Source organism: Homo sapiens, chromosome 6, assembly GCF_000001405.40.
Source record: "Homo sapiens chromosome 6, GRCh38.p14 Primary Assembly".
Taxonomy (NCBI): Eukaryota; Metazoa; Chordata; class Mammalia; order Primates; family Hominidae; genus Homo; species Homo sapiens.
Genome location: NC_000006.12, coordinates 129,361,289 through 129,374,732, shown reverse-complemented (window position 1 = coordinate 129,374,732; position 13,444 = coordinate 129,361,289). Strand labels below are relative to the sequence as shown.

Here is a 13,444-nt window from a genome sequence, read left to right as displayed (position 1 = left end):
GGTAGCAGGTGCCTGCAATCCCAGCTACTTGGGAGGCTGAAGCAGGAGAATTGCTTGAACCTAGGAGGTGGAGGTTGCAGTGAGCTGAGTTCACACCATTGTACTCCAGCCTGGACAACAAGGGTGAAACTCTGTTTAAAAAAAAAAAAAAAAGATTGGCAGTACCAATTAAGGCATTTTCCAGAGGGAAGAGAGTCTTAGCTATTAGGTAACTACAGGATCACAGTAATTCTTTATCAGTATAATCTGGGGAGTTCTTGAATATCCCAGTGGTCTGACTCTACCCCAGACCAACTGCATCACAACCTATGGGTGTGAGATAGGGCTCCTGGTAATTCCAATGTGCAGTCCTAGTCTAGAGCACTGTCTCCTCTAATGTAGTCATGGGTAATTGGAAGTTGTGGCCACTGCATTTCTCATACCCTGGTCACAACTGCAGGATCATTCATGACTCTGAGATAGAGGCATTAGCGTGCTTAGCCTGATTTTGGATAATGAAACCATCTAACTCTCTAATTATAATTCCATCTGTATTAATTCACCTTTTGATTGTCATGCAGCTTGACCACAGGGAAAGAGAGAATTGGTCATGTTGACTTGAGTATTTATGGTCTGCATGGAAGATATATTTGTAATTATAAATATGGTAGGAAAAAAGTAATTAATGAGTATTTACATTTCCTCCCCCTTCTCAACCCATCAAAGTGATCTTTGCTTTCAGTAGTCCTATTTCTGCGCCTTTTATGTTACTGAATCTGAAGAATGGGCAGATAAAAATAGTATTAGAGTATGAAAAGGGCATAAAAGAGTAACTTTACAGTGGAAAAATCTGGCAAACACTATGTTAGTCAGGTGATCAGGGTCAATATCCACAGTAATAAGTCATATTGGTCACATGGGTTCTTGATGTGATGAAAATGGTACTTTACCTCTGAAGTTTTTCCCACAAAAACTCATAATTCCATTCTAATCATGAGAAAGATATGAGGCAAACCCCAATTGAGGGACAGCTTACCAAACACATGAACCTGTCCAAACTCTCAAAGTCATCAGAAACACTGTTACAGTATTTTTGACAGTGTCGTCACAGTCTAGAGGAACCCTAAGAAGACACAATGGCTAAATGTAATGTAGTATCCTGCATGGGATCCTGAAACAGTAAAAAAACATTCAGTAAACACTGAAAAAATATGAATACAGTCTTGGGTTAATGGTAATATTTCAATATTATTAGCTCATGTATATGAGCTAATATGTATATGACACATGTATATAACATGTATATGACACATGTACCATGCTAATGTAAGATGTTAACAATGGGGAGACTGGGAATGGAGTATGTGAAGGCTCTTGGTACTCTCTTTGCAAGTTTTTTGAAATCTAAAACTACTGTAAAGTAAAAAGTTTATTTTAAAATAGTATTGGAATTAACTAAAAATGGATTATAGACCTAAGTGTAAAATGCAAAACTGTAACGCTCCTAGAAGATAGCATAGGAGAAAATCTAGATGACCGTGGATATGGCAATGAGTCTTTAGATACAACACCAAAGGCTCAACAAGGAGAAACCTAATTGATAAGCTGGGCTTCGTTACAATTAAAAACTTCTGCTCTGTGAAAGACACTTCTCAAGAGAACAAGACAAGCCACAGAGGGGAAGCAAATAATGGCAAAAGACATATCTGATAAAGGACTATTACCCAAAATATACAAAAAACTCTGAATTCGACAAGAAAACAACCCAATGAAAAAATGGAAAAAGACCTAAATAGACACCTTACCAAAGAAGATATACAGATGGCAAATAAGCATATGAAAAGATGCTCGACATCATATGTCATTAAGGAATTGCAAACTAAAACAAGAATGAGATACCATACACACTTATTAGAATGACAAAATCCAAACACTAAAAACACCAAATGCTATTGAGGATGTGGAGCAACAGAAACTCTCATTTATTGCCGGTGGGAATGCAAAATAGAAAAGACCATTTGGAATACATTTTGGTAATTTCTTTCAAAACTAAATATACTCTTACCATACCATCCAGCAATCATGCTCCTTTATATTCACCCAAATAGGTTGAAAACTTAAGTCCACACAAAAGTCTGCACAAAGATGTTTACAGCAACTTGATTCATGCTGCCAAAATTTGGAAGCAACCAAGATGTCCTTCAGTAGGGGAATGAATAAGTAAACAGTGATATGTCTAAACAATGAAATATTATTCAACACTACAAAGAAATGAGCTATAAAGTCATGAAAAAATATGGAGAAACCTTAAGTGTATATTACCAAGGGAAAGAAGCTAATATGAAAAAGTACCACACTGTATGATTCCAGCTATATATTCCAAAAAAGGCAAAACTATGGATGTAGTAAAAATATGAGTGGTTGCCAGGGGTCAAGGAAGAGGGAGGTATGAATAGGTGAAGCATAGAGGAGTTTTCGGGCAGTAAAACTTTTCTATATTTTACAACAACGGTGGACACATGTCATAATGCATTTTTCCAAACCCATAGAATGTACAATACCAAGAGGGAACCCTAATGTAAACTATGGACTTTGGGTGATGAGGAGGTGTCAACTTAGGTTTATCGACTATAATAAATGTACCATTCTGGTGGGGAAGGTTGTGGGGGCAGGGAGTAGATATGAGAACACTCTGAACTTTACACTCAATTTTTCTTTGAACTTTAAGCTGTTCTAAAAAATAAAGTCTGTTTAAAAAACATAGCATGAGACAATCTGCTGGAAAGGGTAAAGAGTATAGGTTGAGACATAATAAAGATCTGACACTCTTAATGAAATACTTCTTGTGGCCAGGTGCGGTGGCTCATGCCTGTAATCCCAGCATTTTGGGAGGCCAAGGCAGGCGAATCACAAGGTCAGGAGTTCAAGACCAGCCTGACGAACATGGTGAAACCCGTCTCTACTAAAAATACAAAAAAAATTAGCCAGGTGTGGTGGCACACACCTGTAATCCCAGCTACTTGGGAGGCTGAGGCAGGAAAATCACTTGAACCCGGGAGGCGGAGGTTGCAGTGAGCCAAGATCGCACCACTGCACTCCAGCCTCGGCGACAGAGCAAGACTCTGTCTCAAAAAAAAAAAAAAAAAGAAATACTTTTTGTGTCTCTAACGTCAGATCATTAGACTATACTAAGCCAATGAGGGCAAGGACTGCGCAGTTTTGCTCACACTTCTATCCCCAGTGTCATAATTCCTAGAACATGAGAGACTCCCAAAAAGTATTAGTTAAGTGAATGAATGAATGAAATGCCATTTATTACATGAAATTTTTTCTAATTACCCCTAAGCAGATGAAATTATTCTATTATTAAATATTTCTCCAGAATTTCTTCCGACTTTATTTTATTTCATGTTTTATTATATACCTGCATGCAGTTGTCTAATATGGTCCTCCATACACTTAAATGCTGATGTACACACACACACACACACACACACACACACACATCTCAAAGTTCTTTGAAGACAGATTGAGCCTCATTCATATTTTTCATCTGCCAACACGTAACTTAGGCTTTGTATGTTATGAACATTTATGTGTGCTTGTTAAATTGATTTATTCTACCATGACCTGTTAGAAAATTCTTATTTATAACAAATATGAATTATTTCATATTAAATTAATATGAGATAAATGCACTCAATTTAATCTAATGTCTACATACATTTGGCAAGAAACTCCGTGTTGTATCTGTACATTCTATATTGTTGCTATGAGATTCTGAAAAAGTGTTTAGTATGCTATTGTAACATCAGGGCCGTTGTTTAGCATTATGTGCTCAGAAGCCTATTTGATTTTCCTGTGGATATTTTCCTAAACCGACAGCAGGCTATGTAGAAAAAGTACTGGGCCAGTGGGAATCTTGAGACTGGGTCCAGCTTAAGTCCCTGAGTTTAGCAAATTGTATGGCCATTGTTAATTCGTTTCACTGTCATGGCCCGAGGCAGCTCTTCTTTAAAATACAAAGTGGACTCGATAATCCCCAGGAACCTTCTAGCTCCAATACTCTTTATCATTTAAAGCTCTTAGATAATCAAATTAAATCCGTACTTTGCAGCCCCGTTTCTAGCTTCATGCATATTTCTGGCCACAAGATGGCGGGCTTTATGTTGTTTTCTTCATTCTCTAACTGCAAAAAGTTTTTAATACCATCGCAGTTTTGAAAATTTAAAATTTCCAATTCTTTAAAAAGCCTGATAAATGCAACATGGACTTTACATTCTGACTTTAAAAAGTGTCTTAAGCACTTTGGAGTCTCACAATAGAGAAGATTTCCTCTTTTGTGTGGAAAGACTGATTTACACTGTATTTCTATACTAATGCAAAAATCCCACGATGAGATGAAAGAGACCACAAGCATTTTCATTTGTTTTTCTTTCTCTTTACACAATCAAAGATAGTGCTTTTGGAAATCAGAACAGATACAAACTTTACCACGGAGGCTACTGAATAAAGTTCTCAAAATACACTGTCATTCTGGACTTTTTAGCCATTGACAATTTCCAGGTATCCCCAATTTTTCTGCGTGCTACTGATTTCTATGATTTGATTTGAAGCAGAATTAGCAAGTCAGAATACATCTATTTTATATACCAAATTGGGAATTAGGAAGAAGGTGATTTGCATTTCAGAACTTTGAAGTAATTTTCCTTCATTGACATAATCTATCTGCTTTCAGAAGATTCATAATTTTGCCACCTTACCCTGGTCAGCAGCTCGTTCATTTCGGTCACGAGTGTATTCAGATTGCCCTCTGCCAGCTGAATAAGCCTCTCTGGGGCCCGCTGAGGTGACAGCAAGTGCTGAAAAAGATTCCATCCCATAAACATTTTTAGTAAATGGCCTTGCAGTGATAGTGTTCGACAGAACACATTTTTGTATATAAAAGGAACTTAGCCTTCTCACCTTCAAAGAAAAGATAAGGAAACTATTTCAACTGGGCACTTACACATTGAGTGTCATGCCAAATATTCAGGCAAATAATAAAAATTGCAGTGACTTATTGAGAAATTACTATGTGCCAGGCTTTTTATGTTTTGTTTTTTCATTTAATTTTCACAACAGCTCTATGGGGGGTAAGCATTATTCCATTTCATGAAAGAGCAAACTGTCTTGAAGACAGTTAAAAATGTGCACGAGATCACACAGTCAGTAAGGGGTAGAGTTAAGATAAACTCCTTGCCTGGCCCATTTAAGGCTCCCATTCCAATTAACAGAGACACAGATCACAGGTAAAAAAGAGAACGGCAGGCCTTAACATAGAGACCTGGCTAGGCGCTAACTAACTGGCCTGTCCTCGGTGTTGCTAGGAACTGGCCTAACAGCAGGGCCATATTTTTTTCCTATGGAACATAAATAATCTCATAGGACACTAAATTAGACAAGGTCACTCTGAACCAGTGATGAATGAAACAGAAAAAAAGAGACTACCCTGTAATGTCTAAGCGCAGACAAAACCATAGCGGGTTTTGTGTAGACCACAAAACTACCCCAACCTCCCATTTCCTGGCTAATATGAATGAACACTGCCTCCTTATTAATCATAGCTTTATCCTCCCTCTGTTCTTCCTTCCCTCTAGATAGGATTCACAAAATACTCACAGAATTACTCCCACTTCTGAATAGCACCCAGTTGAGTGCTAACCTTAAGTTATCTAGCACAGCCTCAAATACTAGAAGTTATTCCTAACACCTTCTTATTGAGACAGCCCACAATTCCCCCATGGTGTTCAGTGCCCCTTGTTGCAACAAGTTAATAAATCCCACTTTGTTCCATCACATGTGTGTCCTTGATGGTCTTTGGCTGAAGCTTGGGGAGCACTGACATAGTTAAAGAAATTGAGCAAAGAGGTGAAATAACTTAAGTTTTTATAATACCAGAAGGTGATCCTCAGTATACAAATGTCAAGTGAATGATGGAAGAAGAACAAAATAAAAAATCAAGAAAGACTAGAATTTAAGGATAATCCAGGTCATCTGGATCAATATCCAGCCAGAAGTGGATGGGTCACTGAATCCCTTGGCTTAGAAGATGTTCACAAATTGGAGCCTCTTCTATAGGATCCTCTTTACTTCATCATCCATTGCTTAAGTATTAGTTTTAAAATGTTTCATGTTCAACTAAAATGTTTGCTTTTCTAGTTTAATTTATTTTTCTGTATTCTCTCCATATACAAGGAAAATAACTGATCGGCATTCTTTTCATTAAAACTCTTCACTTCCCTGAATACCAGGACCACAAGGTAAACTCAGGTTCCTCTGCCTGGCTTTCAAGGTTGTCCATCATATCACCCTGCCTCACTGAAGTCTCCAGCCTTATCTTTCACTAGCAGGTCTGACTTTTAATATCTGCCAGACAGATCTAATTCACACCACTGCCTCTGCTCACATGGCTCTGTTAAGCACAGCTGCCTTCTCCCTGTGTCCTCACACGGCAGAAGGCAGAATGTTTGTGTCCTTCTAATATCCATGTGTTGACATCCTAGTTCCCAATGTGATGATATTAGGAGGTGGAGCCTTTGGGAAGTGATTGAGTCATGAGAATGTAGCCTTCATGATTGGGATTAGTGCCCTTATTAAAGAGACCCCAGAGAGCTAGCTATCCTTTTCCTCAGTATCCAGATATTAAATGAATTAAATGTGGGGTCATAGCAAGAAGTCACCCTCTGTGAGGAACAGGCCTTCACTAGACATTGAACATTGCTGGTACCTTGATCTTGGGCTTCCCAGCCTCAGAACTGTGAGAGATATATTTCTATTGTTTATAAGCTAATCAGTTTATGGTATTTGTCACAGCAGCTCCAATGGACTGTGACAGACTTTCAACATATAAATTTGGGGAGATGTAAATATTCAGACCATGACAACTTCTTTCCTATTTCTTGGAGTTTCTGTAAAAGCTATGTATGGTAATCCATTTAAGACTTCAGTCAATTGCCTAGCTTTTCAATAAATGTTAGTTATTCTTGTTATCATCATTATTGGTTTCTTCTTCTGGAAAATAGGGATAATAATACTTACCTTAAAGGTTATGGTCAGAATTAAAGAATATATTTCCTAAAAGAATATCTACCAATGTGTAGTGAATAAATCTTAGATGCCTTCCTCTAAAGCAACAAATACTTCTCTACTAAAATTGTGTCTACACTTCAAATTCCAACAGAAATTATACTCTCAGTAATGGTACATTCTCTGGTTACCCTGAATCTTACTGATTTCTCCAGTCTCTGTGCGCTAATGTACTTTGAATGTTTGTAAAACACATGGTCATTATGTATTCTTGCTAATTGCTTGATTATTGTTTAATGATTATTTTTAAAGCACATAGAATCTACATTTCCTAAGGGTAGTGAAGATATTAAAAGAGTCATGAAATCCCCAGGGAACCAAGTGCAATGCTGAGGTATTCTATAATTTCTTAATAAATATCTGATAATTGACTGATAGTAAGTTGACACCTTTCATCTTTTTCCATCAGGTGAAACAACCCCAATTTCTTTAATGTTTTCTCCTACCTCGTTAACTACCAAAAGCTTTAACCACAATTTAGAACAGTGTTTATCAAACTGGTGCTTGTTGAAGAACTTTTAAAGGTCTACTAGTTCTAGCTCTTTAGTACAAGATTCTAATCATGTGTTTTCATTTTGATGATAACCTTAAATATTAATGTAAGCATTTCTGGATCCCAGGCTAGGCACCTGAGAGATGAATATGGCCACCTGATCTCAGTGCCTACATTTGCCTGTGTGTTTGAGCCTATGGCAGACTGAGCACGTTAGTCACATAAACTTGTCAAGTGATGCTCACATTCATTTCAGGACCCTTTGTAGGGGGCTCTCTGGTTCAAATGTGGTAAGGTAGGAGAAATGAGTTACCACATCATCTCTGGTGGAAGAACTGTGTGAAAATAGTCAATATCCTATTCTTGTTGCAAGCAGCAATTTCCATTCAGCCAAAATCATGTTACTTTATATTAATGTTTTTAATTTGAATTTTATTGGTTTTGTAAGGATTAATTTGTTTTAATTTTATAGAGCTATAAGTATAAAGAGTTTATACCTGATTTTATGTTTGCACATATTTAAGTGACATAATAAAACTGATTTAGGCCAGACACTGGGGGGTACATGAGACTCTTTTCCCTTAATAGAAATCTGTATATTATAGTTCTTGAGTTTGAAAAACACTGGTTAAGAAAGTCTCTGAATTTCCCTAACAGTTGTGTCCCTTGATTTGGGGCTGTGGGAAGAACATTTACCAATTACAGCCAATACCGCTTGTGAAGCTTCTGTCACCTTGTCCCTGGCCCTTGCTTGTGACTGCACCAACCTACCTTTAGCTCCTGAGTCATATTTTCAAGACCATACAGCATTTTATATGGCGCAGGCAGCGGACCAGTGAGGTTGATGCTCATGACCATCTGCTCCAGGCGAGCCAAGTCACCGAGAAGAAGGCCAGTGCACTCATCTCCACAAACTGTGAAAGAGAAGTGACAAAGAGTAGTTACTTCTGCTAAACATCCCAGGCAGATGTTCAAAGAATTCAGCTATGAAATATTTTATGGTCCAAGAATAATTCCATGGAAGATGAAACTACTCATCTCAGAATATTAATGCTATCAAATGGATGATGGTTGAGGAAAGATAAGAACAACAACAAAAGAACAGATATGCATGTCGCCCAGAACCTGAAATAGAGGCGATAATATAAACTGAGGGACCAAAGAGGAGGAGCAAATAGATTTGGGGAGAAAAAGTGTATTGCACAAGTATTGAAGATTTCCTTTAAGGCATAGAATATAACATTAAAAGTACCCCCTAAATCCCTACATGAGCAATCGAAAGGAACCTGTCCACAGGGAATAAAACATGCTCCAGAGTCTAAATGTGTGGTGCTCCATTAGATTGCACTGGAGAAAGTCATAGTAATTTGACCTCCACATGCTTTATGTATTACACATTCAAAAAGTATATAAATTTTTAGCTTGGTATCTATTGAGTAGAATAATTAAAAAAAAAAAAAGTCTAAAGAAGGCCGGGTGTGGTGGCTCATGCCTGTAATCCCAACACTTTGAGAGGCCGAGGTGGGTGGATCACCTGAGGTCAGGAGTTCAAGACCAGCCTGACCAACATGGTGAAACCCTGTCTCTACTAAAAATACAAAAATTAGCCAGGCGTGGTGGCGGGCCCCTGTAGTCTCAGCTACCCAGAAGGCTGAGGCAGGAGAATCACTTGAAACTGGGAGGCGGAGGTTGCAGTGAGCCAAGATTGCACCACTGCACTCCAGCCTGGGCGACAGACTGAGACTCCACCCCCCAAAAAATAAAATAAAAAGTCAAAATAAAAATAACTTTTCTTTCTATAGTGTTTTCTTATGATAATATTTATTGACTTATTTATTTGCCAACTGTTCCTCTTTATCCCTTCAGTCTATTACCACCCATGATTAGATGCAGTCTCACAAATCCCTACTTTGATGATTAACCTCTTTCAGTCTTATAGATAAATAATTGCTAAAGGCTAGAAAAACTATATTCTTTAAGTAGCCAAGAATGCTAATATTCTACCAGATATGGTTTGGATCTGTGTCCCCATCCAAATCTCATATTGAAATGTCATCCCCAATACTGGATATGGGGCCTCGTGGGAGGTATTGAATCACTGGAGTGGTTTTAATGGCTTAGCACCACCGCCCTAGTGATGTTCTCATGACAGAGTTCTCATAAGACCTGGTTATTTAAAAGTGTGTGCCACCTCCAGCCCCCACTTCCTCCTGCTCTGCCTGTGTGAAGATGCCTGCTCCAGCTTTGCCTTCTGCCATGAGTGAAAGTTCCCTGAGGCCACCCCAGCCATGCTTCCTGTACAGCCTGATGGAACCATGAGCCAATTATACCTCTTTTCTTTACAAATTGCCGAGCTTCAGGCATTTCTTTATAGCAATACGAAAATGGACTAATACACTCACCATAATATTTTTGGCCATCAAAGAGGTGCTATTCAAATTTGGTGGTAGGGGCCAGGATAGGTGGTAGAATTGGTAGAGAGACAAATGGATTGTTGACTCTTCATTATGGAATAGATCTCATAAATAGTCGTATAATTTCCAAAATTAACATATATTGAATCTTTTAGCAGATTTAAAAAACATGTATATTTTTAGTTTTGCATTGCAGAGTAATGAGGTGTATCTGCACGCCAAGGAGCAGGAACTACTGCATTTATAATATACTCTCATGTATACAGTTACAATTTCTTACATTCTGCAGATAGAGGTATCAATGCTATATACATGTTAGAATAGGGGAAAATACATAGCATGGAAAATACCGAGAATTGGAGCAGCTCTGGATCATGCCCAAACTTGGCAAGAATTCAATTAGGTCTCTAAACAGCAGTCCCCTGAGCTGCTTAATGGAGAGAAAACCATTAACTGGTGCTTGTAAACAAAGAGAAGGAGGACGGAGAGTGATTTTTTGATAGGACAGCAGCTAGAGGTGAGTTACAATATCACTTCACAGGGATTAAACTGCCCTGGCAGGGCTTTTAATAAATCAGCTTCTTGCAGGTGACACCTGCAGCTTCTTGCAGGTGACAACTGTAGAGCGTCACCTGCAGGGGCTTTGCAAGCTCCTGATGCTTCACAAGCTGAATGAACAAAGAGGCTTTGGAGGCCAGAGCAGAAGTCTGGAACTAGGGCTATATCTCTTACTCTTCTCCTAGCCAGAATGAAACCAAATTTGCACTGCATGGAAACCAAGTAAAAGATTATTTTGGCTTCATAGCCCCGTTCAATGCAAACTTCAACAGACTTGTCCACATTAAACAATTAGAGAAAACACAACATAGAACTCAGTTAAGTGCCAAATTGACTGTGTCTAAACACCAAGATCCACAGTCTGGTTCTCAAGCTTTAGTGGGCCTCAGAACCACCAGTAGGACTTTCGGAAATCCTAGAGGGCTGGTCCACACCCCCTAGTATTTCTGAATCAGGAGGTGATTTGATCACCTGGTTTCTCTTAGTCTCTGACTGAGAATGTGCTTTTCTAACAAGCTCCCAGGTGATATTGCTACTGTTGGTCTGTGCACCACACTTTGAGTAGCAATCAGACCAACAGTTTTGGCACCACCTGGAAGCTTATTAGAAATGTATAATCGGGCTCTACCCCAGATCTAGGAAATCAGAATCTGCGTCCCACATTATCTCTGCACATTAGAATGTGACAACATTGGTGTGGATCAGTGGTTCTCACCTTTGGCTGCCCATTGGAATCACATGAACATTTATAAAATACAGATGCCTGGGCTCTTTCCCTCCTCACCACCACAGAATATGATTTTTGATGGGTCTGTGGTAAGGTCTAACCATCAGTATTTCTATTTTTATTTTTTTCTGAGACAGGGTCTTGCTCTGCCACCCATGCTGGAGTACAGTGGTGTGATCATGACTCACTGCGGCCTCAAACTCCTGGGCTAAAGTGATCCTCCTGCCTCAGCCTCCCGAGTGGTTGAGACTACAGGCACATGCCACCACATCCAGCTAGTTTTTTAACATAGAGATGGGGTCTTGCTGTGTTGCCCTGGCTGATGTCAGACTCCTGGCCTCAAGTGATCCTCCCACCTCAGCTTCCCCAAGTGCTGGGATCATAGGCGTGAACCACTGTATTTTAAAAATATTCCAGTAATTGAAAAACCATGTAGCCAAAGGATAAAACCACTGGACCAGGTGATAAATTATAGGGATGCTCAATCTTCAAGGGAGCAAGGATTTGGAAGAGGTCCTTTTGCTTGCTGTCTTCTCTACCTAGAATTCTTCTCCCTTGGTCTTCTCCCACCTGGTTCCTAGGTGTTCAGGTCAAGTGCTCAAGTGTCACTTTTTCAGAGAGCAAGTCCCTGATGATTCTAAAATTACTGTTACCTGAAACTCCCCACCACCCCCAGCCCTATACCCTGCGCCAGTCACTACTGCATTTCCTTTGCTTTCTTAACACTTATGCCTGTTTGGGCTACATTATTACTTAATTTATTTATATATTCTTTCTTCCTCGTTAAAGAAGGGACCTTAAACACCTTGGTTATGGTGCCTAGGAAAGGGTCTTGTACACAGTTAATATTCAGTAAATATTTGTGGGCTAATATTTTTGTGAGAGAAGGGTATCAAAACACTTTGGACAAAGAGAATGGCAAGGGTTAATGTTTGAGCATGGCATGTGCCCAAGTACATGAAATAGTGAGAAGATCAGGGAGGTAGAATGTTAGGAGAGAAGAGAGAGGGGAAGAGGGGAAGAGGGAAGAGGTTGGGGTTGGCCGGAAGAAAACTTCTGAATGTGAGAACAAGATAGAAAACCTCACAGATGTGTGAGGAACAGGAGAATACATTAAAAACAATGGTTTAGAGACAGAAAGAGAACTATCTTGTGATTGCAGAGGCAGAGACTGTCCGATCAACAAGAATGACTATTCAGATACCTGCCTGAAGGATTTCAGTTTTGACTCAGGAAAGGGAGAGATGGACGGGAAGAAAATCAGCACAAAACTTTAGGAGGAAAGAACACCATGACTGACAGATCAAAGCGATGATCATTTCTGGGGACAATTAAAAATGGTTACTACTGGCTGGGTGTGGTGGCTCAGGCCTGTAATCCAAGCAGTATGGGAGGCTTGAGATGGGCAGATCACTTGAGGTGAGAAGTTTGAGACCAGCCTGGCCAACATGGTGAAACCCCATCTCTACTAAAAATACAAAAATTAGCCAGGTGTGGTGGCATGTGCCTCTAGTCCCGCTACTCGGGAGGCTGAGGGAGGAGTATCACTTGAACCCAGGAGGTAGAGGCTGCAGTGAGCCTAGATCATGCCACTGCACTTCAGCCTGGGAAACAGAGTGAGACTCCATCTCAAAAAAAAAAAAAAAAAAAGGTTACTGTTAATACTTCTTTGCCACACCTCACATTAAGATGTGAAGTCTACTTCCCTTCCCCTTGAATCTGGGTTAGCTTTGCAACATACTCTGACCAACAGAATGTGGCAGAGCAACATATTGAAATTTGCACTTTCTGCTTTCACACTCTTGGACCCCTGCTGCCTTCAGAACAATCCCAGGTTAGCCTCCTTGAGGAAGGGAGGCAACGTGAGAGAGGAAAGGGCAGTTGAGGCCCCAATTTGGGCTTGAGGCCATCTGGGAGCCCCTAGGCGTGACAGTGGAAGATCTGTCCAACTGAGCTCAGCCCAAATTGCCAACCTACAGAATCATGAGAGTGTATGCACTTGTTGTTTTAAGCTACTAAACTTTGGAATGTATAACTGATACAATCGATAACTGACACACTTTTTCAAGTTTTGCACATGTGATTCAGATCAGAGACTTTCAAGCTGCAATTCATAGGTTAAAAACAGCAGTAGTAACAATTATA

At 39.5% G+C, this 13,444-nt stretch overlaps 1 protein-coding gene across 2 annotated transcripts in view, besides 1 other annotated feature; it reads right to left on the bottom strand.

Annotated features, from left to right (window-relative positions):
• LAMA2 (laminin subunit alpha 2) overlaps positions 1-13,444 on the bottom strand; it is a 633,429-nt gene that overhangs the window by 141,834 nt on the left and 478,151 nt on the right. For both annotated transcript variants that reach the window (NM_000426.4, NM_001079823.2), the window contains exons 33-34: positions 8,372-8,514; positions 4,743-4,841 (exon numbers count right to left, since the gene is read on the bottom strand). In NM_000426.4, the coding sequence (NP_000417.3) occupies positions 4,743-4,841; positions 8,372-8,514 (242 nt within the window). The remainder of the gene's footprint in view (positions 1-4,742; positions 4,842-8,371; positions 8,515-13,444) is intronic.
• Positions 3,733-4,242: an enhancer, noted in NCBI's record as "NANOG hESC enhancer chr6:129691636-129692145 (GRCh37/hg19 assembly coordinates)". NCBI's record gives its function as "activates a minimal SCP1, AML or CMV promoter by ChIP-STARR-seq in naive H9 embryonic stem cells {active_cell/tissue: H9 hESC(naive)}" and the evidence as "EXISTENCE:reporter gene assay evidence [ECO:0000049][PMID:30033119]".